Below are 23,360 nucleotides of genomic sequence, written 5' to 3' on the forward strand. Positions count from 1 at the left end.
GGGGACTGGGCCAGACAGCCTGTGAGGCAGTCAGCTGGTGCCTGGCCAGAGGGTGTCTGAAAGGCCTCTTGGCTGCAGGGTGCATCTGCTTTTGGGACAGCTCTTCAGAGCCATCTCAGAAGGGACAGCATCCGCCTGTCTACTTCAACTCCCACTGATGACGTCCATGTGTCATTAGTGCCAATTAGAGGAGGGCAGCAGGCTGAGTGCTTGGCCTGGGGCGCAAGCTTGTGGGAGGGAAAATTGGATTCCCCGCTAGACAAATGTGATTACCCGTGCTGCCTGGACCCACCCCATTCAGGACCAGGGCATAAATGGCCAGGTGGGACCAGAGAGCTCACCCCAGCCATGCCCGCCCTCAGTCGCTGGGCCAGCCTGCCCGGCCCCAGCATGCGGGAGGCAGCCTTCATGTACAGCACAGCAGTGGCCATCTTCCTGGTCATCCTGGTGGCCGCACTGCAGGGCTCGGCTCCCCGTGAGAGCCCCCTCCCCTATCACATCCCCCTGGACCCGGAGGGGTCCCTGGAGCTCTCATGGAATGTCAGCTACACCCAGGAGGCCATCCATTTCCAGCTCCTGGTGCGGAGGCTCAAGGCTGGCGTCCTGTTTGGGATGTCCGACCGTGGCGAGCTTGAGAACGCAGATCTCGTGGTGCTCTGGACCGATGGGGACACTGCCTATTTTGCGGTGAGTCTCTCCTCCCTGCCAGCTCTCCAAACCCTTCCTGACCCGGCACCCCATCTGGCCGTCTTTCTGCACTCACCCTCCTTAACCCAGAAAGTTCTTCTGTCACCTGTCAGTGTTTGAGTTGACTCTGCTCTGAGCCAAGTCTGCACCCCGAGCTTGGGCATCATGGGGATCTCAGTTTGAGGACAAAATAGGAAAGACATGCTTTCCATGGTCCTTGACTGCCCGCCCCAAATCATGGGACCCAGTAATCCCAAGGAATGGAACTATACACAGAGGACGCACACACCACACACACTCGTGCCGCTCCACACCCCACACGCGCATGAGCACAGACCCCACGACCCTCGGCCCTGTAAACAATGCCTAGTACCACGTCCCCAGAGCACACATGCCCACTGATGTGGGCCAGGTGGTGGCGCGTGGCTGGGCACAGCATGAGGCCTGCACACCCATGGGATCCAGCCTGACCTACTGTGCTTGTACCCGTGGACCAACTGAGCAGGTGCAGACACCCTGCCCCTACCCATAGGTGTTGAACAAGCCCCACAGGGCTCAGCCAAAACTGTTAGGATGGGCTCTTGACTCCTTTCCGTCCAAATTTACCTCCACTCTTGTTTCACAGGGTGGAGAAAGGGGAAAAGTTTCCCTTCAAACTGGAGGGGACTTTAGGCCCTTCCACAAGCTGCAGGGGGTCCCCGAAGTGGGCGAGCCCACCGCCTACAATGGGTCCTGCTCCAGCCTTCCTTTCCACATGGGACTGGCCACCAGGGCTTCTTTGTGGATGAAACCCAACTCTCTCCACAGAAACACACAAAGGAGTGACAAAAAAGTTTTATTTCTGAAGTCAGGAGGTGCCTGCTTTATCTGGGAGTGCCGAGCTGGAGCGGGGGAGCTGTGTCTGTGCGGAGCGGCCGGCTCCAGCTCTGCATCTTGGTCTCACCATGGGCTGGTGGGGCGGAGAGTCCCTCTCTGCCTTTTTGGGTGTTGTGAATTCATGAGGGCAGATGGTGGCTGCTGTTTCTGGAGCTGAGCTTGCCCCCTCCAATTCCCAAGACTCGGCCAGGAGGCACTTGCCTGTGTCGCTAGTGAGGCTTAGGGCCACCCAGGTAGGGTGAGTGGAGCTGCCTGGGAAGGGCCCTGCTCTGACCCATAGGGCTGCACAGATTCCTGTGCACAAAGACACTCTGTGGCTCAGGTTCCAGCCAAGAAAGACCTGGGACAGCCCTGATTCTGAGCCGTCAGCCGTCTGGAGGAGCAGCTGAACCCCATCGCTGACAGTTTGGGGTTCTTCGCAAGCCTCTGCCATGAGGCACCCTGAGTGCAGGAGCATTTGCTCCTCTCTGGGGCAGCGTCCCCCCTGCCTGCATTTCCCGGCTGCTAGGGAAGCCAGAGGAAGCCAGGTGACTTTGCCTTTCCGTGCACTGGCAAGGTTAATTTGCACAACAAATTCCTACGAAAGCAAATGTCAGCCTTATTATTCCTCCCTAAGCAATATGTTCAACTAATATCTTCTTGATTTCCAGCTGAAATATCACAGGCGAACTTTCTGCCTCTGTTTAAAATGAGTCTCTCGGCAAACCAGCGGTGTCCCCAGCGGGGTTGCATTGTGTGGCTTTTTTCTCTAGGGAAAGTTTTGCAGTATCTTTTGCAGATTTCTTTTTTCTCAAGGAAATGAAGAAAAGATGTTTTACCCTGAATGTAAGATTAAAAAGAAACACAACCCAAAGTCCTTAAGGCCAAGGGCCCGAGGCTTTCTTGGGGTTTCCATGGGAAAGGCCAGGCAGGGCAGGGAAGCAGCTTCGTTTGGACAATTCTGGTGGGCTCTGGGTGGCTGGGGTGGTCTCTAGTTGCCTGGTTCCTGGCCCTAGGGTGTTTTAGGGTTGGGGCAATATTGGCCTGGGGTGTGAGAGTCAGGTGGAGGAGGTAGCTAGGGATATGGGCTTGGTGTGGGTCGGAATGTTAGGAATATGATTCTCACACACGTGTGAATGTTGGAGGGCAGGACAGGTGTAAACAACTCTGACCATCTGTTTGAGCCTTCAATCAATTAATAGATGCCAAATAGACAAATATGGAATCTAAGAAGGGCCCTTCTTGAGTACGAAGGGCAGCCTGCTTGTTGGGGAAGGCTCCTCGCTGTCTCTCAGTGGGTCTCCCTGGTGGTCTTCCATGTGACCTGGCCTCGGGCCACCGTGTCCCTGCCCCTTAGGGCCCAGTGCAAGGGGAGCGGCCGGAGACGGGGAGGGCAGAGGTCACTGATCCAGATCCCAGGAAGCATCCTCGGAGAATGCAGCAGGTCCAATGCCTCCCTGGGCCTCAGTTTACCTTCTCCAAGCAGGGCTGGGACTAAGGTGAGGGGAACAATGCCTAGGCTGCAGGGTTTAAAGTGGTGCTTCAGGCTGGGTGTGGTGGCTCATGCCTGTAATTCCAGCACTTTGGGAGGGCAAGGCAGGAGGACCGCTTGAGGCCAGGAGTTCAGGACCAGCCTAGGCAACATAGCGAGACCCTATCTCAAAAAAAAAAAAAAAAAAATCCAAAATTACATGTATTTATAAAGTAATAAAGCAGTGCTTGTTCTCAGGGTTGTGCCAGTGCAGGGTGGGCACCTGCTATCAATCACCATCTTAGATGTGGCACCCTGGTTTCTCTCTCCTTTCCTGTTCATGTCCCACCCTGTTCCCAACTCTCCCCTTTCTGAGGCTCCGCAACTCTCCTGCCTGCATGAATGTGGGCAGCATTGGTCTGAGGCATTGTTCCCAGTCTTGAGGAGGCCTTGGGAGCCTCAGGCATCTTCTTAAGAAGCTCAGTGTCCCGCCCGCCAGGCCCGGGAATGCCCATGGCTAACAGAACCTGTGACCTGCTGGCAAGTGACAGCCCTGGTTCCTGGCTGCAGAGGAGGAACCAACTCCACTGTCGGGGCTCATCTCCACTGTCTCCAGGCAGAAATGGAGATAGAAGGTGTGAGTGAAGCCACAGCCCCAGGCAGAACCCTCAGATCCACAGGGACTGAGGCCCAGCATCCCCAGATCAGCTGGCAATGAATGCGGAGCTCTGCCGGGGAATGCCCTCTTCCCCTGTGGATTGGCCCGGCTTGGCTCCTTCATGCCTGGAGCCCAGTGCTTGTCTCTGCAGGACGCCTGGAGTGACCAGAAGGGGCAGATCCACCTGGATCCCCAGCAGGACTACCAGCTGCTGCAGGTGCAGAGGACCCCAGAAGGCCTGACCCTGCTTTTCAAGAGGCCCTTTGGCACCTGCGACCCCAAGGATTACCTCATTGAAGTAAGGGGTGGCCGCGAGTACCCAGGAGGGCGTGGGCTGCGTGTATCATGCTGCCATCCTGTGCCAATGTCATAGTACCTTTCCTGTCCCTGATAAGTCTGGGGCCTGGGCCTGGCCAGCTATGACAGAGAGAAAGCCAAGGAGGATGGCCAGAGGCAGTGGTGGGGCCAAAGCACTTAGGATGGTCCAGCTCTGCTATTGCCCCTGAGCCCTCAAAGACGCAGCTCTTTGCCAACACGTAGCTGACATGGTTTCTAGATGCGGGGCTTGTGCTGAAGCCTCTCCCATTGGACTAGACCTTGCTTCTGGATGTCTCTCTCCTCCTGGTCCTGTTAACCATCAGGTGGGATTCTGGAGCCCAGGCGACCTGGCTTTCCATCCCGGCCCTGTTGCCAGCTCGCTGTGAGGCTCGGGACAACTGCCCCCCTCCTCTGGACCTCACTTTGCCCATCTGTAAAATGGAGATGGGAACTAGATGATCTGTATGGCCTGACCAACTCTGGGAGTTCATGGGAGCCATAAAACATTGTAAAAGCCATAGGCTTCTTATGCTGCTCTAAGAGCCCCCCAACCTCTTAGGGAAAGCAACCCACCTTGCCCTTGAAGACAAAACTCTTTTAACTCTAGCACACCTGACAGCTTTTGTCTTGTGTAAGTAATCCTTTGGTGTGGCAGTGGCCTGGGCTGGCCGTTAGTGCCAGGTCTTAATCATGGGTGTAGCTGAGTGACCACACGGGAGGCCAGTGCCATCGAAAGATTGATTGCATTTCCGGAGAGAAGGGGCACCTGTGCCGTGCAGGGCCACCTGCAGAGCCCTGGGTTTGGTCAGGAGGCAGATGCAGGAGCTAGGGGAGAGCCCAGGCCTGAGGCTTTCTTGGGGTTTCCATGGGAAAGGCCAGGCAGGGCAGGGAAGTTGCTTCATTTGGACAATTCTGGTGGGCTCTGGGTGGCCGGGGTGGTCTCTAGTTGCCTGGTTCCTGGCCCTAGGGTGATTTAGGGCTGAGGCAATATTGGCCTGGTGTGTGACAGTCAGGTGGAGGAGGTGGCTAAGGATATGGGCTTGGGACGGGTTGGAGGGTTGGGAATATGATTCTCACACAAGCGTGAATGTTGGAGGGAAGGGCAGGTGTAAACAACTCTGGCCATCTGTTTGAGCCTGCAATCCATTAATAGATGCCAAATAGACAAATACGGAATCTAAGAAAACAGAACAGCTGGCTGTTTGCCAGATGAGGAAACTAAGGCCCGGAGACGGGGAGTGGATGTACCCAGGGGTTCGGGGTGTGCTGGGGCAGACCTGGTGCCAGAAGAGGTGTTCTTCCAGGAGGTTGTTGAGCCCTTACCCTGCTTCCCAGTGGACGAGGCAAGGGTGAGCAGAGAACCCTCTGGAAGCACCTCACAGGGGGAGGCCAATGCCTGTGTGTGCTCAGCCCAGTGGCCCCAGGCCAGGTATAGGGGCCTTTGCCTGGAGTTCTGGGCGTCCCCTGCACAGGGCGGCCCATCGGCTTTCCGCAAACTCAAAGAGCAAATTAGCCACCCACACGGGTCTGCACTGTGGAGTGCCCAGAAAGCTATGAAAGGCACTTTCCACACCCGATCCCCGTTTCCATTCATGACAGCATGTGAGGAAGCCAGCCCCACAGCTTGCCTCCTGAGTCTGCCTGTGGCCTCCAGCACCGCGTAGATCCATGGAGCTTTCTGTGGCTGCTTGGTCCCCTCCTGCCAAGCTGGTGGTGACTACATAATATAGCGTGGCTCCGCAGCTCAGCGTGACCATCAGCAAGCCCCAGGGTGTTTCCTTCCCTTCATAGAGGGCACTGAATCCTCAGGCTGGGCTGCTGAACTGACCAATGATCCCCCACACCCAGTCCCCAGTGACCTTGGGGTTGGTGGAGGGAACAAATGTTCCGGCCACACTGGCTCACGGCGGGCCCAGTAGTCACTGGTTGAATGGATGTTAAGTGAATGTAGGTGGAATGTGTTTAGAAGAGAAAAGTATTTGATGGCCGGTGCAAATAGGGGATCCTGGGGGTCGTCAGCCCGGGATTTGGCCCCAGCCAGGGCCATGCAAGCCTCAAGGGTCCCTTATTCACAGAGATGAGAGTGAGGTGTGTCACCTGGTAGGTGTGGGTGGGCAGGGATGTGGCATCCTCTCAGGAGCCCAACTCTGGGGGCTCTGAGAGGGCGACCAGCTGAACCCTGTCTCGGCTGCAGGACGGCACTGTCCACTTGGTCTACGGGATCCTGGAGGAGCCGTTCCGGTCACTGGAGGCCATCAACGGCTCGGGCCTGCAGATGGGGCTGCAGAGGGTGCAGCTCCTGAAGCCCAATATCCCCGAACCGGAGTTGCCCTCAGACGCGTGCACCATGGAGGTCCAAGCTCCCAATATCCAGATCCCCAGCCAGGAGACCACGTACTGGTGCTACATTAAGGAGCTTCCAAAGGGCTTCTCTCGGCACCACATTATCAAGGTACGTGCGGGTCCAGGGCCGAGGTCCTCGCCCAGCCCTGCCTTCCTCCCGGGCCTGGGTTGTCCCTGACCCTGGAGAGCTGTCCACAGTCCTGGTTGGACCAGGTGTCCTCTTATCACTGGAACCTCAGGCACCTGCCTGAGCAGGGGAGCAGCAAGTGGTCTTGGCTTCCCCATCACTCTGCTCACTCCCCTACCCTCAAAGGGCCTTGGAGCTCCCACTTCCCTGCCTGGACCAAAGTGACCAACATCTTGACTTCTGCATCTTTCCTTGGGACTGGAACTGCTGTCTGTCTGCCAGGCCACCTCCCCCTTCATGAAAAAGCAGCTCGAGTCAGAACTCACTTGCTCTCGAACACCCGTCCGGGGAAGACAGAATAGCAAAGGCGATAGCTGTCGAGTGTCCACTATGCCACTAGTCCCGGGGGAGGGGCGAGGTGATCCCTCCTTCATCATAAGAGCCCCTAGTTTCCAGCAGAGGAAGTGTGGCCCAGGGAGGTTGAGTGTCCAGGGTCACATAGCAAGAAGGGGCATGTCCTTGAAGGTGCACTCAGAGAGGTTATGTGAGTGTCCAGAGTCACACAGCAGGAAGAGGCATGGCCTTGAAGGTGCGCTTTGGGCCCGGGCTCTAACCTCAGGGCTGCCCTGCCTCCCACTGGGGCTGCAGGAGCTGGCCCGGCCACAGCCCCATATGCATGAGGACGGCTGCGTCCTGTCCCTGCCTTGGCCTGTACGAACCTCATTTCCTTCACTCTGGAGCTGCCTACGGGATTTCTTTCTGGGCTGATGGCTCCACCCTCAAGGCTGTGAACCCCAGAAGTGCCCCTGAAATTGTCTGGATCATCCCTCCCATTTTACAGATGGGCATTCGGAAGCCCATGGAGGAGGGCTGCTGGGGAGGGGAGGGTGGGCGGCCGGTTCCCGGGCTCAGAGGGCTGCCTCCTCACAGTACGAGCCCATCGTCACCAAGGGCAATGAGGCCCTTGTCCACCACATGGAAGTCTTCCAGTGCGCCCCCGAGATGGACAGCGTCCCCCACTTCAGCGGGCCCTGCGACTCCAAGATGAAACCCGACCGCCTCAACTACTGCCGCCACGTGCTGGCCGCCTGGGCCCTGGGTGCCAAGGTGCGTGCCCTGCGACCCCAGCATGGTGTCTCCTGCCTGGGCCCCTGGCATCCCCACACCTCTGTTTCCCCAGCTTCACCGTCTCAGAGGCTTCAAGAAGGGGCTCCCAAGGGGGCTCACGAGGCCACCAGAAGGGCCAGGCCTGAGGTGGCCCCCTCGCCTCTGTGATGTCTGAAATGCTTCAAGCCTTTTTTTTATTTTCCACAGAAACGCAAGTGCCGCAGGACCTTATGCCCTCAGTGGGTCCTGATTCTGTTTCCCAACTGGAGTCAGGGTTTTGTGTACAGGTGGTCCCAGGGCTGGCTGGCGGTGGGGCCAGTGTTGAGGCCTCCACAGGCTGAGACGATGGGGGTCTCCCCAGCTCTTACACCCGTCTAGAGAAGGGGTTTTGGGGGAAGGCTCAGCCCTAGGCACCAGCTCCTCTCCCCAACTCCCTGACCCGAGTCTCACAGGATGTTCCTGGGGCGTGTAATGAGCTGCCTGTCAGGAGGAAGCATCGCTCTAATCCTGCTGCGCCCCCTCCACCACCCCTGAGGCTCAGGCCCCAACAGTTGACTGGGTTTGCCCCTGCCCAGACCTGGGGCCCTCTCAGGACACACCCGTCTGTCTGACACCTTGCCCCACACAGGCATTTTACTACCCAGAGGAAGCCGGCCTTGCCTTCGGGGGTCCAGGGTCCTCCAGATATCTCCGCCTGGAAGTTCACTACCACAACCCACTGGTGATAGAAGGTAGGCGGCTCTGCTGCCATCCTCCTCAGAAGCCCTAGGACTCAGCTGTGTTGAGCCAGTGAGCAAATCCCGCCCTTCGTCTGCCCAGCATGGTGCCCCCGCTGTACAGCTCCTCTTGGCACGAGGCCCTTGCGTCTGCCTCATCCGCTGTCCATCTTCCATGGCTGTGGTGGGCTCCCAGGGACAGGACCTCGAGGGGCTCACTCCTCACAGCTTCGCCAGGGCCCAGCAGTGGCCCCACACCTCCCTCCTCGTCCCTATAATACGGGCTGCCATCGGCGCAGCACTGTGCATCCCAGGGGAAAGGACAAGGAGAATTTTCATAAGGGAAGCTGCCAGATGCCAAGTTCCAAATACAGGGAGAGGTGTGTGCATAAACAGGGAGGTGGTAGTAAAGCAGGGCATATTCCAGGACACAGGCGCTCCGGCCTGGCCAGAGTGCAGGGACGGGAAGGGGAGCTGGGGCAGCTGCTGTTGGATCACCCATACCTGAGGGTGGAGTGAGCAGGGTCAGCTTTTAGCATGGCAAGGCCAGGTGATGCTGTCTCAGAAACTGAAAAAAATACTTCCCTCTCTCTGTTGCACCAGCATCTTTCACCATATATAGACACACACGCACACAATGCACACACACACGCACACACACATGCACACATGTACACATATGCACGCAGAAGCACACACATGCACACACTTTTTCTCTCTCTCTGAATGGTGCTTCTTCTTTTCATTTGTGCAAGGTGCAGAAGTGGCCTAAGAGATAGGTGCTAGGCTGTGCCTCACCACCTTGGGGACGCTGGGTGGATGACCTCACCCGCTGCCTGTTCTCCCACCTCCCACAGCTATTGTGAAGCTGGGAAAGGCTCACGCACAGAACTTGCTGTGGGCACGGGGCTGTGCTCAGCTAACAGTCGCCTGTGGTTTTTTTTTTTTTTCCTGGCTGCATAAGTAATACCTTCCGCCACTGTTGGAGTTATCTCCACATGCACAGAGAAGGGTATAAGTCAGCTTGGGCCTTAGCATGACACGGGATTTATTGCTCATTTAAACCCTGAAAGCAAATGGATTTTTGAAAACTCCTGAAGCATCAGGGAAGTCTGTCTCTTCATGATTATCTGGTTGTATTTATGGATCCTTTGCCAAATATAAGGACGCTCCTGTCACTTCACCCATCTTGAGATGGGCTGCTTTTCTATAAATATCAAAATCCCACAATTATTTCATGATTTAATCCCCATCTGAATTTTAACCAATTGCAACACCCTTTTTATTATTATCCTCTGATGTAATCAGCCTGGAGATACAGGAGCCGTTTGAGTTTGGATGGTGTAGGGGTGTCGAGGGAAGAAGGCAGAGGCAAGAGGAGTTGTTTTGGCCTCATCTTAAAGGAAACAAGTAGGGAGATGGTTGGGCCCCCTGGAAGTGCCCTGCACCCCAGTCCACAGCCCTGGGTTTGAACCTCAGCTTGGCCACTTCCCAGCCCTGTGGTCTTGTGTGGAGTCTTCAGTTCAGGCTCCATCCTCAGTTTCTTAATCTGTGAAATAGGGCTGATGATTCTCACTGTGCAAAACTTCCATGAAAGGGGTAGGTTATGCTTAGAGCATTTTTGGCACCCAGGGAAGATGTTAGTATCTGTACCACCCTCTTGGTTTGATCAGAAAGGGCAATGCATGTACACTGGTGAGAAGATGGACAGCAGAAAAGCATGAAGAAGATGAAACCACCCCCCAGCTCCCGGCTCCAAGTTTTGAAGTGAGCACTGGTCACCCAGCTATGTGTCTGTCCTGACTGCTTTTCTGGCCCATTAATTTTTTTCTTGTGACTAGAATTTTATATCTTTTTTTTTCATTGTTGTTTGTTTTTTTACTTAAACTTCATCAGAAGCCTCTTCCCTGTGAATTAAAACCCCTTGTCAATTTCACACTCCTTGCCGCCTGACATCCCTTTCCTGTACATAACCCAGGGGGCAGAGCCTCCTGCTGCACAGCCCCTCCAGACCACCCCGCCATGTCCGCCATGTCCACCATGTCCACCATGCATCCGGGGGCATGGGGCCAGGCCTTTAGATCCTCCGCCAACCATGAGCCCAGCCGGTACTCAGAGCCTGGCTGCTGATTCACTAGGCATGGAGTTTCAGGAACGGTGGGGCTACCTGGATGACACCTGGTTGTGAGGATGTTCGAGTGGGTGCCAGCATCCCTGAACCTCTGTTTTTTTGTTTTGAGACGAAATCTCACTCTGTCACCCAGGCTGGAGTGCAATGCACGATCTCAGCTTAATGCAACCTCCGCCTCCCAGGTTCAAGCGATTCTCCTGCCTCAGCCTCCTGAGTAGCTGGGATTATAGGTGCGTGCCACCACACCTGGCTAATTTTTGTATTTTTAGTAGAGACAGGGTTTCGCCATGTTGGTCAGGCTGGTCTCGAACTCCCAACCTCAGGTGATCCACACACCTCGGCCTCCCAAAGTGCTGGGATTACAAGGCGTGAGCCACCGTGCCCGGCCCCCTGGACCTCTGACCATCAGTTTCATGTGACCACTGGGAGGCTGGCCCAGGGAGCTTCAGGGACTCTCCAATTAGCAAACGGCAAGGAGAACTAACAGGTGTGGCCACACCATAATCAGGAGACACAGTCTCCGTGACTCGAAGAAGCACCATGTTATTCCTTTGGAAGAGGCCCTTGAGTGTGGGCTGAGGCTCATAAAGGGACAGCAAGTCATCTGAGAGCACACAGCACGCTGTTGACCAAGCAGGACCTGGCCTGTGCATGAACGGGGGCTAGACCTGCAACGCTGGCCCTCCTCCTGGGGGGCCACATTCTCACTCAAATTGTTCCTGAGATGTCAGCTTGGTAGGTGGGTTCCTTGGGTCTGCAGGACATAAATCAAAGTAGTAAAAGTGGGGGCTGCTGGGAGGATGTGCTCCTTGAATGCTTCTTGTTAACCTCAACACAGAGATACACTCACACTTGCCCAGCTTTGACGCAGGGCCAGGGCTCTTCTGTGCCATCGGCAGATGGGAGTTCCATGCCCTCTTCTTTGCCCAGACCACACCCTGCAGGTTGTCACCGTCTTGCAGGCTGATTTCCAGCTTAGGTTCCTTTGAACGTGGAAGAAGAACATCAAAGCACTTATGAAACAATCTGAGCACAGAACTCAAGTTGTTTACGAGTTTCCGTCTATCAGCAGCATCTCACCCGCACCTGATTCCATGGAGGCTTTAAGTGGCTCACGTTGATCACATCTTTCCATAGCATTCAACTAGTTTTCATAGAAACAGCAGCTCTTTCTTCCCAGTGAGTGTAGCCTGTTTGCGTTAATTGATCTTGCGAGCTGCCTGGCATCCACAGGTGTGGAAACAAAGACAGCCAGCTCTTGGTCTGCCTAGCAGGTGGGAGCAGATGGGGGGTGACCGGCCCTGCCTCCTGGCTGAGGGTGGCTGGGGTCATAGGGATAATCTGTCCGCAGGGGGAAGTGAGAGGGCCTCCACTTACCGCTCACCTCCATCCATCCCACCTTCTCCCAGGACGAAACGACTCCTCAGGCATCCGCTTGTACTACACAGCCAAGCTGCGGCGCTTCAACGCGGGGATCATGGAGCTGGGACTGGTGTACACGCCAGTGATGGCCATTCCACCACGGGAGACCGCCTTCATCCTCACTGGCTACTGCACGGACAAGTGCACCCAGCTGGTGAGTGGGGCTGGGCCCGGCACTGCACCCTCCCTCCTCCCGCGTCCCTCAGTGGAGGCCTGGCAGGTCGTGGCCCACGAAGGGTGGCAGGCACAGCTTTGGTTTCCCCTGACCCTGAATCCCCCTGCGGTCCTCCCTCTTTTCTGTATGCAAGGGAACCCTGCTGCTGAGAGGCCATTTGTGTGTGTATGCACCTCCCTCTCCAGCAATAACCATGGCTCCCACTAGTCCACACCCACGTGCCAGGCTTCCACGAGCTGCATTTTAAAATATGCCTTCATTATGTAAGCAACACACACATGCACTTGCCACTCACAAGCGCAGGCACTGCAGCTAAAGAGAACGCTCCCCTCATCCGCTGCCGCCTCCCCCTGAGATAGCCACTTCTTGGCTCTTTGTGTCCTTCCAGACCTTTTTCCTGTATATTTCAGGAAGCTCTTGCAGGTGTTAGAAACCTTTTGTGTTTTTAAAAAGTTGTATTGAATAGTTAACAAATTTTTCAACAAATGGGAGGCATTTTTCTGGTGATTTGCCTTTTTATTGCTGCATAGTATTCCACAGGATGGGGTTTTCACCACGCACCTGAGCAGGGCAGGACTAGGTGAGGCAGTGAAGTGCCGGGTACAGGATCTCAGGGAGCACCCGTCCTCAGGGCTATGCACGCTGGGTGGAGGCACAGGTTGGCGCTTAGACTGGCGCCAACAGCAGGTCCTGTCCTTGGCTTCTGGTGAGTTCAGAGAGTGACTACTAAAATCTCCTCCTTTGCTTGCCCTATCTTGGTCCAAGCCTGTGCTGAACTGTCTCCCTATCAATCAGTGTCTAGGCTGTTCTCAACTTTTCACCAATAGAAAGAAGCTTCTGGGAAATCCTTGTCCATGTAGGAAACCATTTTCTCATGTAGATTTCTAGGCATGAAATTGCTGCTCAGAGATGTGAGTGTTCCCTTGAGTAAATCTTGCAAAATGCCCCTCAGAAAGCCCATCTTCTGCTCCCTCCCACACATAGGACGAGAGGGTGCCCGGTTTTACTGACCCACTGGATTATTAATATTGTAAATATTTTCTGTCATTTGGGAGGAAGACATGTCAGTGTTGTTTAACTTGAATTTTCTATTTGTGGACTTGAGGATCTTTTCCTCTGCCTCTTGGCCATTTGTTCCTGTTTTCTGTTCATTCCTATGCTCGGTTTTTCCAGTAGGTGGTTTGTTTTTCTTACTGTTGGTTTCTAGGAGTTCTTCTTATATGATGGATGTTATTTCATAGTTTGTGTATATGTTACAAACATTTCCTCCTGTGCGGTAGCTTTACTTCTCACAGTGACCTGCAAAGTAAGTGTTGACGTACCCATTTCACAGATGGGGAGACTGAGGCTTGCTGGGATCACACTGCCAGCAGTCACGCAGAGTGAAGATTCAAATACCAGTCTGTCTGACTTTGAAAGCTGTGGCCGTGACAGCAGATTTCGTTGTAATGAGGTTTAGAGTGGATTTTCCTTCCTAGTAAATGGGTCGATTGGGATTTGTTCTTCATGTGGGTGAGCCCCCAGAGCATCCCAGTCTTCCAAGCAAAGGTTCCTCAAGGCTGAAGGGAGACGGAGCTCTCAGCCGGCATGGCACCCATTGTCTCCGGCAGGAAATCAGCTCCTTTTGTCCCAGACGGGGGTGGACACTCTCTCCCACTTCCCTAAAGCGCCCACTGGTGAAGCGTGGGCCCATGTAAAAGGCACCTTGGCCAGGGCTCATGGGGAAGAGCGGCTTCCGGCCAGGCAGCACTCACTGCCCCTTGCAGGGCCTTGGGGCCTTCGACCCCGCTGACCGCTGACTGTGAGAACGCCTCTCTCCAGCCTCAGGAATACAGACCCGCCTCCCCTTGCCAGAGTCCTCCACTACCTTAAGTAACAGAATGAGAATGTTCAGTCTTGTCTCTCCTTTGGCAGATAAAAGAGGGGCACAAATTCTGCAGCCAAAATCTGGCCTAGTCTAGCTATCCCAGTGAAATAGGCCAAGACAAGAGTGCTGCTTTGGACCAGAGTGCCCAGAAGAGCATAGTCCTCCCTCCACCTGGCCGACACCTGGCATCTCTGGGCCAGGGTCGGCCTCTGGGGGCCAAAGGGGCATTGGGACCCTTTGGGCTCCCAGGCCTGGCACACAGTGGCCTCTCAAGCCATTGCAAGGGACACAAAGCTATAGGCGACGGCAAGGTCAGGGCGGCCGCTGCTTGGGAGCGAGAGGGAAGGAGCAAAAGTGAGTCCTAAAAAGCTCGGCCATCTGGGACCTTCAGGGATGGGGCTGTCGGGACCTTGAGCTCTGGGACCTGCTGACTGCATGAACAAACTGGGCAGAGCCTGGCAGCGGGTGGGCAAAAGGACAACTGACTCACAAAGAAAATGCTCGATTTCAGGAAAGACGTGTTCTTTTCTTTCCTTCTTTCCTTCTTTTCTTTCCTTTCTTTTCTTTTTCTTTCTTTTTCTTTTTCTTTCTTTTCTTTCCTTTCTTTCTTTCCTTCCTTCCTTCCTTCTCTTTTCTTTCTTCCTTCCTTTCTTTTTTTTTTTTTTTGATGGAGTTTCGCTCCTGTTGCCCAGGCTGCAGTGCAATGGCACAATCTTGGCTCACTGCAACCTCTGCCTCCCGGGTTCAAGTGATTCTCCTGTCTCAGCCTCCTGAGTAGCTGGGATTACAGGCACGTGCCACCATGCCCGGCCAATTTTTGTATTTTTAGTAGAGGCGGGGTTTTACCATGTTGGCCAGACTATTCTCAAACTCCTTACCTCAAATGATCCATGTGCCTCAGCCTCCCAAAGTGCTGGGATTACAAGCATGAGCCACCATGCCCAGCCATGGAAATGCATTTTCTATCTAAAAAAAGTTAGCATTAGGTTAGAGAAAACTTTCGTTCTCTGGAAGATTCTCTCATGCCCCAGTGATGGCATAAGACCTCTTGAGATGAGGGCTGCCATCTTTTCTGTGAGGCCGGCCTGCAGCCTCAGAGTGTCCAGCTGCAGCACCCCATGGTCACATCCATCTTGGTCCTGGATGACCACCTTCCAGTTGTAGCTACAGCTCCCAGCTGTAGCACGGGGTGATGCTGAGCACAGGGAGAATGCAGCCTTGGCTGCTTTGAAGCTGAAAGGAAGCCACAACGCAGGGCAGCTGAAGGTCCTGCTCGGCCCACCACGTAGGGGACCTGCCAAGTACCACCTTCTGCCACTTGCTTTTCCCTGGACAGCAAGCTCTTCAGCACAGAGGCCACGCGCTGCTCAGCTTGGTGGCTTTGCCACACCCTGTCCACGGGAGGCTCGCCTTAAAGGCCTGTTGACTGAGTGAAGATGAACCTGTCAGGCTTCAGGGGCTCAGGAGAGGATGAAGGACTCGGAAAGAAAGTCGCTCCTGAGTGGGACTAGGGGCTGCTTCTTTGGGAGCTGGGGGCTGTTGCGGCCCCCTCGCTCTTCCCCGTGAGGTTTCTGATGGTGGCTCTAACCTGGCCGGGGAGAAAGACCTAGAAAATGCAAGTGTTCCAGGGAAGCAAACTGCCCAGGGTGGCTGCTCCCTACCGGGTCCTGGCCATGGACGGGAGGGTCCCCTCGGGGGTCAGGCCCTGACACTGCAGCCCCCCGACCCCACAGGCACTGCCTCCCTCCGGGATCCACATCTTCGCCTCTCAGCTCCACACACACCTGACTGGGAGAAAGGTGGTCACAGTGCTGGTCCGGGACGGCCGGGAGTGGGAGATCGTGAACCAGGACAATCACTACAGCCCTCACTTCCAGGTAGGAACCTGCACCCCACCCCTGCCCCGCCCCCACACCCTGCCACCACACGACCTCCTGGGTCTACTGTTTCCTGACACCATAGGGATGGCTCCAGGCTGGCTTCTTTTTCCTGGGCCAGCCCCACCCGCCCCCCACCCATGTGGCCTGTGCTCCCCACTTGGGTGTCTGGTGTCTGATCGTAGGGAGGCCTCTGGCACATGGCAGATGGTGGTGGGATTCGGGAGACCCAGGCGGCCCTCTGGGAACATCAATCTTGGTCTTGGATAACCACCTTCTGGTTTGAATCTAATGCCCTCCCTGGCCAGAAGCCACACTTAGCGGGCTCTGGCTTCCACTGTAGAGGCTGGGGCAAAATGGACACCCCCAGAGGTCAGGGAGGCCTGAGGGAGGACACAGTGGCCGGGGGTCTGGTCTGCAGCTCTCTGAGGTCTCCTCTCCCCCACCCCTCGGCTCTGCCTGCCCCAGGAGATCCGCATGTTGAAGAAGGTCGTGTCGGTCCATCCGGTGAGTGCCCAGCGGGAAGGCTGTCCCACTCACTGCCACCAGCTGGGGTGGCTGAGAGGGCTGGGGGTGCCACCAGAAGGAGAGGGACACAGAAAGTGATAGGGGGAGGGAGAGCCATCCAGGGCAGGGGGAGGGTGCCTGTGGGTGGCTCTGGGCTGGGCTACCTCATGGGGAGACTCACTCAGGAGTTCATGGAGAGACGTTGGAAAGAGTGGAGCAGACAGGACACTCCCAGGGGACGCGTGTCCTCAGTCTGATGGGCCGACCACAAACCCGAGAGTGTTTGGGGGAGATGAGGGCACTAAGGCAGGCAGTGGAGCCCTGATCCCACAGAGGGCCAAGCCCAGGCCTCGGTGGGGACTTGCCCAAGTCCTTTGAGATGTGTCATGGCCCACCAGCTGCACCCCCACTGGCCTGGGCCCTGGCCCTGTTGTGACCCACTGGGTCACAGGAGCTGATGGTTTATAACTTGCTCGGGAACACTCAGCCTGTGACCTTCGCACATGAATCTGCTGGGCTCCTTGTAGTGGACGACAGGGACTGTACCCCAGAGGTGCCGTGGCATGCACAGTGGCGTGGTCCTATGGGGGCGAGGCCTCCAGCACCTGCCAACGCCAGGTGGCAGGTGCTGATGGTCACATTGGCTTTTCCTCAGGGAGATGTGCTCATCACCTCCTGCACGTACAACACAGAAGACCGGGAGCTGGCCACAGTGGTAAGTCACCCCCGCTTCCCCCTGCACCTGCCCAGGGCGAGTGTTCAGCCTGAGCCATCTGAGGAAGGATGACAGGTCTTGACTCCTCACTTAGGGCATGGGCTCGTCCCCTCAATAAGCCAGTCGTTCTCAGCTCCCTGAACCACAGTGGCAGCATCACCAGGGAGCTTGGGATGAATGCAACCTCCTGGGTGCCACCCCAGGCCCACTGAGTCAGAGACACAGGCGGTGGCATCGGGCAATCCATGTTTTAACAAGCTCCCAGCGGATGTTGACCCCTGCTCAAGGTTGAGAAGCACTCACACCAAGAAGCTTCTCAGCACCCGGGGCTGGTGTGGGGAGAAGCTGTAGGACAAGAGGTTGACCTTTGCCCCGTGGAGCTCAAGGTGCACCAGGGAGACAGGCCTGGAGCACCTGCTGCTAACAACAAGCAAAATTACAAAACAAAACTTTAAAAACCAGGTTGAGGAGGCAGAGGTGCGGGGACCTGGGAGGGCCTTGTCAGAAATGTGGCTGTCACATGGAGCCCAGGGGAGAGGGGAGGAGGTGAAGGAAGGCTCTGTGCAGGGGCTGCGTGCGGGAAGGCCCAGAGGACCAAGAACATTCTCAGGATGGAAAGGAGAGGAGGAGAGGGTGGAGACATGGGTGGGGGTCAGGCAGGATGAGCGTCAGCTGAGGATGCATTTTGGCTGGACTGCAGACAGTTCAAGGAGAATCTGCACTGGAGAGATCTATTTTCAAGGCTGGGTATGCAGGCAGCACCAGGACACGGGCAGCCACGTGATGCATCACGCAGCGGGGCTGCTTCCGGGAGCCAAAGGGGATGCTGTTCACAATTACCTGGGTCCCAGGCACAAGCCAGGGCTGTCCTGGCAAATGGGCCACCTTGCCAGTGGATCCGTGCCAGCTGCTTCGGTAACCATGGTGGTCTCCAATAATTATCCTGTGAATTGTGTGGCTCAAGTGGAGCAGACCTGGGTTACAGCTACCCTGACATCCCTCAGCGCCAGGAACTCAGGTCCATGTCACAGCCCTATTCTTTGTGTTTTAATCCAATGTGGATTCACCTGATGTTTACTGAGCCCAGACTGCCAGTGGTTTATTTTATTTTATTTTATATTTTATTTTTTTTTGAGACGGAGTCTCGCTCTGTCACCCAGGCTGTGTGTTCTCAGCTTGCTGCAACCTCCACCTCCCGAGTTCAACCGATTCTCCTGCCTCAGCCTCCTGAATAGCTGGGACTACAGGCACCCACCACCACGCCTGGCTAATTTTTGTATTTTTAGTAGAGATGGATTTTCACCATGTTGGCCAGGCTGGTCTCAAACTCCTCATGTAATCCCTCATGCTGGGATTACAGGCATGAGCCATAGCACCCAGCCAGTGTTTGTATTTTCACAGGTGAGACATAAAGGCTCAGAGAGGGCAGGCACTTGACCAAAGTCACACAGCTGATAGATGGCTGAGCTGGGATTTGACCCAGGGTCTTGTGCCTCACAGCTGTTACCCCACCCTTCCTGTCTCCCTTGGATTTCAGGTGACAAGTGTCCTAGGTTCCTGATCACAAACTCAGGGTGGAGACAGGACAGCTTTGTCAGTCCTTTATTCTCTCTAGAGGAGGTGCTCAGTATATCACAGCAGTGGCTGATGTCGGGTGCTTGCCACAGCTCAGCACTGCTCTAATAACTCATCCTAACCACACCAAGCCTTGCTGAGACCTCTGAGCAATCCCACCAGGAGATACAGTGAGGTCCAGCCACTCAGGCCACACAGCGAACAGGAGGCAGGGCTGGTATGGGTGCAGGTGCCAACCCCGACTGTGCCGCCTCTCGGCTAAGCACCTGTGCAGTGACTGAGTGGGCTCGCAAACAGAGGGCTCTGCAGGTGGAGCACCCCAGGCAAGTCCCCACCATCAGCCCCATTCTGCAGGCGCGGCCCCGGGGCCAGGGATGGGAGGGTCTTGCCGGGCATCCAGCGAGGAGACTGCATATTCCCTGCCCAATCTGGCTTCACGGCGGCGGAACTGACGCCACGTCCCAGGGCGTTCGGGGCTGCCAGGCCTGGTGAGCACCGCGGACATCTCAGATGGCCGTTCTGCAGGTTGAGGCCCTCGGTGCCAGCGTCCCCGTGGGCAGTTCTGTGGCTTCCCTGGCCCATGTCGTCCTCTTGGCAGTGGCCACATCACAGCACCAGGTGGGATCAAAGGGGAGGGCAGCTCCCCAGGTGGACCTGAGCTTCTCACACTCTGACAAGCCCTCGCCTGCTGATCCAAGACACAGTGGCCTTTGAAATTCGATTTCCTTCCCCAGGTGAAAGAGGAGAACAGATTCTACACAGGGTCGGACTCAGTTCCCTTTTGATGTCTGTGGTGGCAGAGGGTGGGGAGGGACAGGAACTCACACAGGAGGGCAATCGTCCCGATCTGACGGGGGCGGGATGGATGAGAAAAGCTGGGAAAGGAGGAATCCGGCCCAGAGAACAATGCTGGCAAAAACGCGTCCTGGCCAACAGGTGCCAGGTTTCGTCTCTGGGCAGAACTGTCCCATGCTCTTTGTCTGCACGGGAGGAGGGGGCGGCAGCTGGTGTAAGTGCCACGCCAAGCTTTGCCCAGTCCCTTTGTTCTGCCATAGAGTAAAGATTGCCTTTCTTCCCCACCAGCCAGATGAAATCCCCAGGCCCACAGCAGCTTCACAAACAGCGGGGAGCCTGGAGGGGCAAGGGTGGCCAGGGCGTCATGTCCCGGCCCCTGACCTGCTGGGATCTGAGCTGCTGCCGGGGGAGCTTTGCTCTCTCCAGCCCCAGCTCCTCCAAGCTGCTGCTGTTCTTCCTCCTATGGCTGAGGCTCCACGGTCACCAGCTCCAAGAGCAGCAACCCAGCGAGGGGCTTAAAGCTGGCAGTGGGGACTCAGAGGGTGCCTGCCCTGCCCCTCCCATGCGATGGCAGGCCGTAGGGTTGCCGTGAGAGGCTGGAGGTTGTCGCGGCCTCTAGTCACGGTCCTGTCTTATAGAGTCCCTGCTCCCCTCAGAGCCACGTTGGAGAAATGACTGGTGGACGGTGCGGGGCTGCAGTGGAAAGGGCCTCCCTTGCAGTCCTTGGCTCCAGGCTCTCGCTGGAGGTCATGGGGACAGCTTCCAGACAATGGCCGGGACGCTGGGTGCACTCAGGCTGTGCCACCGATGCTGTGGCCACCACGGGGCATCCCCTTGCCTGCTCTGAGACTCAGTTTCTGTACCCATAAAATGGGCACAATAACACCCCATCCGCTTGTCCCGTTTCATTTTTCCTCACAGCATCATCAGTACCTGATACGAATTTCCTGGTTGACTCACTCACTCACTGCCTGTCTCTCCTGCCAATGGTGGCAATTCCTTGAGGGCAGGGACTCGGTTCCCCAGAGCATGCCTGGCACGGTGCAGTGAACAGACGAGTGGACGCAGTGTACACGTGGGTGCGGCGAAAGCTGCTGGATGGCAGCGTCTGCGTGGCATGGCCCGGGGCTGACGGGTCTCCTCCAACTTGCAGGGGGGCTTCGGGATCCTGGAGGAGATGTGTGTCAACTACGTGCACTACTACCCCCAGACGCAGCTGGAGCTCTGCAAGAGCGCTGTGGACGCCGGCTTCCTGCAGAAGTACTTCCACCTCATCAACAGGTGAGGGCTCCCTGCACAAGCTCCCTGCCCCCAGGGAACCCCGACACAGAACCTCGGGCCTGTTAGGCGGCTGGGCAGATTGGAGGAGTCCAGGCTAAGTTCTAGGAGCAGAGACCTGTGGCGGCATCACTCACCCCTCCCCTCACTCGTTTCCTGCTGAGTCTGGATTTGGCTTCAGAGCCTCCTCAACCCAGCCTGCAGCAGCCATTACCCACCCGCCAAGGTGACAGGAGAGGTGAGGCCGTTGCCGGTGAAGGCAGCATCTGGGGTGGCCTGGCGGAGGCAGCGGGGCTGGGGAGGAGGTGGCAGGACGGTTGCCCCAGGGACAGGACTCGAGTTGCAGGGAGGTGTTGCTGGTGCCCACTGGGCTCCCTGCCCGTCAGCTGCTCCCCAGCCTGGCTGTTCCTTGTCCCCACCAGGTTCAACAACGAGGATGTCTGCACCTGCCCTCAGGCGTCCGTGTCTCAGCAGTTCACCTCTGTTCCCTGGAACTCCTTCAACCGCGACGTACTGAAGGCCCTGTACAGCTTCGCGCCCATCTCCATGCACTGCAACAAGTCCTCAGCCGTCCGCTTCCAGGTGCGCTGCCATGGGCCCGGGTGGGGCATGCAGTCAGGCAGGCCTCATGGGGGGCCCCAGTGAGGGGTGATGGGTCTGCACTCCAAACTGCTGGCAAAAGCACTCGCACAAGACAATGAGAGCAAGTGCCAGGTGGTGACACATAGGCCTAGACAGCCAGCCAGCCAGCAGAGAGAGAGGAGAGAGGAGAGAGAGGAGAGAGAGGAGAGAGAGGAGAGAGAGGAGAGAGGGAGAGGGAGAGAGGGAGAGGGAGAGAGGAGAGAGAGAGGAGAGAGAGAGAGAGAGAGAGGGAGAGAGAGAGAACCAATAACGAGGCAAGGAAGGGAGGGCAGGCACCCTCTCTGGTGACACCTCCACACTGTACCGAATGCCAAATGCAGGTGGTGTGAGCAGGGCGCACTAACCTGCCTAAAAATAAAGCACCAGGGGAGGGGAAGGTAAGAAACGAACCAGTCTGAAGCTGCGAGCTGGTTTTTTCCTCCTTATCTGAGACCCACTGGTATTCGAAGGCATCTAATTTATCCTGGGCCCACTGGGCTGTGGTCAGGAGGCCAGGGCCTATGCAGAGTTAGTCGCGTAAGGTGCCGCAGCCTGGAGATCCAGGAAGATCCTTCCCAGAAGCATTTGGGAGCCAGATTAACTGCTAAGTCAAACATCCTCAGCACCAAGGGAAGGAAGGGCTAATACTGGCTTGCTGAGAATAGTGTGGGGTGGACGTCTGATGGGGTTGAAAACTTGGCATTTGGTGTAGCCTTGAGGGGAAGAGATAGCTAAAAAATATCAGAGCCTGCAGCCAGGGGCTCTGGTTGCTACACTAGGGTGAATGATTAAATTGGGTGGGGACAGAGGCGGGGAGAGGCCTGGATGACTCCCAGGTTCCTGACTAGGTGAATGGGAAGCCAGGGGAGGGGGCATTTACTGAGGTGAGGACCCCCAAAAAGCAACTTGGGGGAGCAGAGTGAGTTCAGTTTGAGACAAGCTGAGTTTGAGGGCAAGAATCCAAGAGGTGGCTGGGAAGTGGCTGGGGAAGCAGCCACCCATCTTGCCCCTCCAGCCTCAGTTTACCTCCTGCCCCCTTCCTTGCAGGGTGAATGGAACCTGCAGCCCCTGCCCAAGGTCATCTCCACACTGGAAGAGCCCACCCCACAGTGCCCCACCAGCCAGGGCCGAAGCCCTGCTGGCCCCACCGTTGTCAGCATTGGTGGGGGCAAAGGCTGAGGGGGGACCTACTCCTCCCCCTCCTCCATGCTGTCCCTGTGGGCTCACACCGGCACTGTGCACTCTACTCTGCGACGATCCCCATGGAACAGCCCTGCACGCCCAGGATGAAGGGGCCAGACCACGCCCCTGCCTGAGACCACGGTCCAATCCAGCCTTCTTCCCCCAGGGTCCCCTGCATGGCTGAGAGGGTGTGGGTGCCCTGTTGACCTACCCTGGACCGAGTGGACCACGACCTCGTCCATTTAAACCCGGCTGACTCAGTGCAGGGACAGCCTGCACAGTGGTCCAGGGTCCAGCCCTCCGCCAGCCCTGTTCCGCCTCACTGGGTGTGGCCTGGCTTCTGGGACAGGCACCATGCTGGGCCGGGGTGTGGAATCACCGGGAACGCCCCCGCCCCCGCCCCGCTGCTCCCGGTGTGCAGCGGGTGCGGGTGCCGCTTAAACATTTCCCTGCTGAGTGGCTCGTGTTTCACAGTGGGCGGCTTCCCTGCGACGGAGGCAGGACCAGGCATTTAGCTAGTTAGAGACTCGCCTGGGAAATTGCTCCATTCCTGAGTAAACAGATATTTTCGCCCACCTAAAGGGAAGCCCTGACAACAACTATCACCAAAAGACGAGGCGGCAAAGATCCAGCGGGGCTTCTGGGCGCCGGTTCCACGTGGGGTGGAATTATTAGCACCAGCTTGCTTCTCTGCCGGTGGGGCCAGCGCTGAACAGACCGGGGTGGAGTCAGGGCTGTGCTTTCCGCGTGGTTCTGCCACTTAGGGAGTGTGCCTTGGGCGGGCCATTTCACATTCCTGACCCTCACTTTTCTCATCTGTAAAACCAGGCTGATGCCGTGCGGGCTAATGAGCCAATAAAGCTCACACTTGGGCTGGCACCCACTGGAGGTGGGTATGTTTGCACTCCGGGCCGTCGCTCCAGGAGAGAGAAG

The 23,360-nt window shown here is 56.5% G+C and overlaps 1 protein-coding gene and 1 long non-coding RNA gene across 2 annotated transcripts, besides 2 other annotated features; one reads left to right on the plus strand and one right to left on the minus strand.

The window, feature by feature from the left end:
* On the plus strand, nucleotides 340-23,306 carry DBH (dopamine beta-hydroxylase). Its single transcript, NM_000787.4, has 12 exons — nucleotides 340-687; nucleotides 3,823-3,969; nucleotides 6,184-6,441; nucleotides 7,390-7,566; nucleotides 8,195-8,297; nucleotides 11,823-11,989; nucleotides 15,611-15,754; nucleotides 16,223-16,261; nucleotides 16,917-16,976; nucleotides 20,500-20,627; nucleotides 21,047-21,206; nucleotides 22,293-23,306. The coding sequence occupies exons 1-12, from the start codon at nucleotides 349-351 to the stop codon at nucleotides 22,422-22,424; spliced, it is 1,854 nt and encodes a 617-aa protein (NP_000778.3). The 5' UTR covers nucleotides 340-348; the 3' UTR covers nucleotides 22,425-23,306.
* Nucleotides 1,605-2,340: an enhancer, noted in NCBI's record as "H3K4me1 hESC enhancer chr9:136502750-136503485 (GRCh37/hg19 assembly coordinates)". NCBI's record gives its function as "activates a minimal SCP1, AML or CMV promoter by ChIP-STARR-seq in naive H9 embryonic stem cells {active_cell/tissue: H9 hESC(naive)}" and the evidence as "EXISTENCE:reporter gene assay evidence [ECO:0000049][PMID:30033119]".
* Nucleotides 18,460-19,259: an enhancer, noted in NCBI's record as "H3K27ac-H3K4me1 hESC enhancer chr9:136519605-136520404 (GRCh37/hg19 assembly coordinates)". NCBI's record gives its function as "activates a minimal SCP1, AML or CMV promoter by ChIP-STARR-seq in naive H9 embryonic stem cells {active_cell/tissue: H9 hESC(naive)}" and the evidence as "EXISTENCE:reporter gene assay evidence [ECO:0000049][PMID:30033119]".
* On the minus strand, nucleotides 18,564-21,385 carry DBH-AS1 (DBH antisense RNA 1). Its single transcript, NR_102735.1, has 2 exons — nucleotides 21,104-21,385; nucleotides 18,564-20,514 (listed from the first exon to the last, which is right to left on the minus strand). It is a non-coding gene; the product is annotated as a DBH antisense RNA 1 (long non-coding RNA).

This window comes from Homo sapiens, chromosome 9, assembly GCF_000001405.40.
Source record: "Homo sapiens chromosome 9, GRCh38.p14 Primary Assembly".
Classification (NCBI taxonomy): domain Eukaryota; kingdom Metazoa; phylum Chordata; class Mammalia; order Primates; family Hominidae; genus Homo; species Homo sapiens.

Coding starts and splice junctions, on each gene's coding strand:
- DBH (NM_000787.4), top strand. CDS start 349: ATGCCCGCCCTCAGTCGCTGGGCCAGCCTGCCCGGCCCCAGCATGCGG. Junction 11,990..15,610: donor CGGACAAGTGCACCCAGCTG/GTGAGTGGGGCT, acceptor CCGACCCCACAG/GCACTGCCTCCCTCCGGGAT. Junction 21,207..22,292: donor CCTCAGCCGTCCGCTTCCAG/GTGCGCTGCCAT, acceptor CCTTCCTTGCAG/GGTGAATGGAACCTGCAGCC.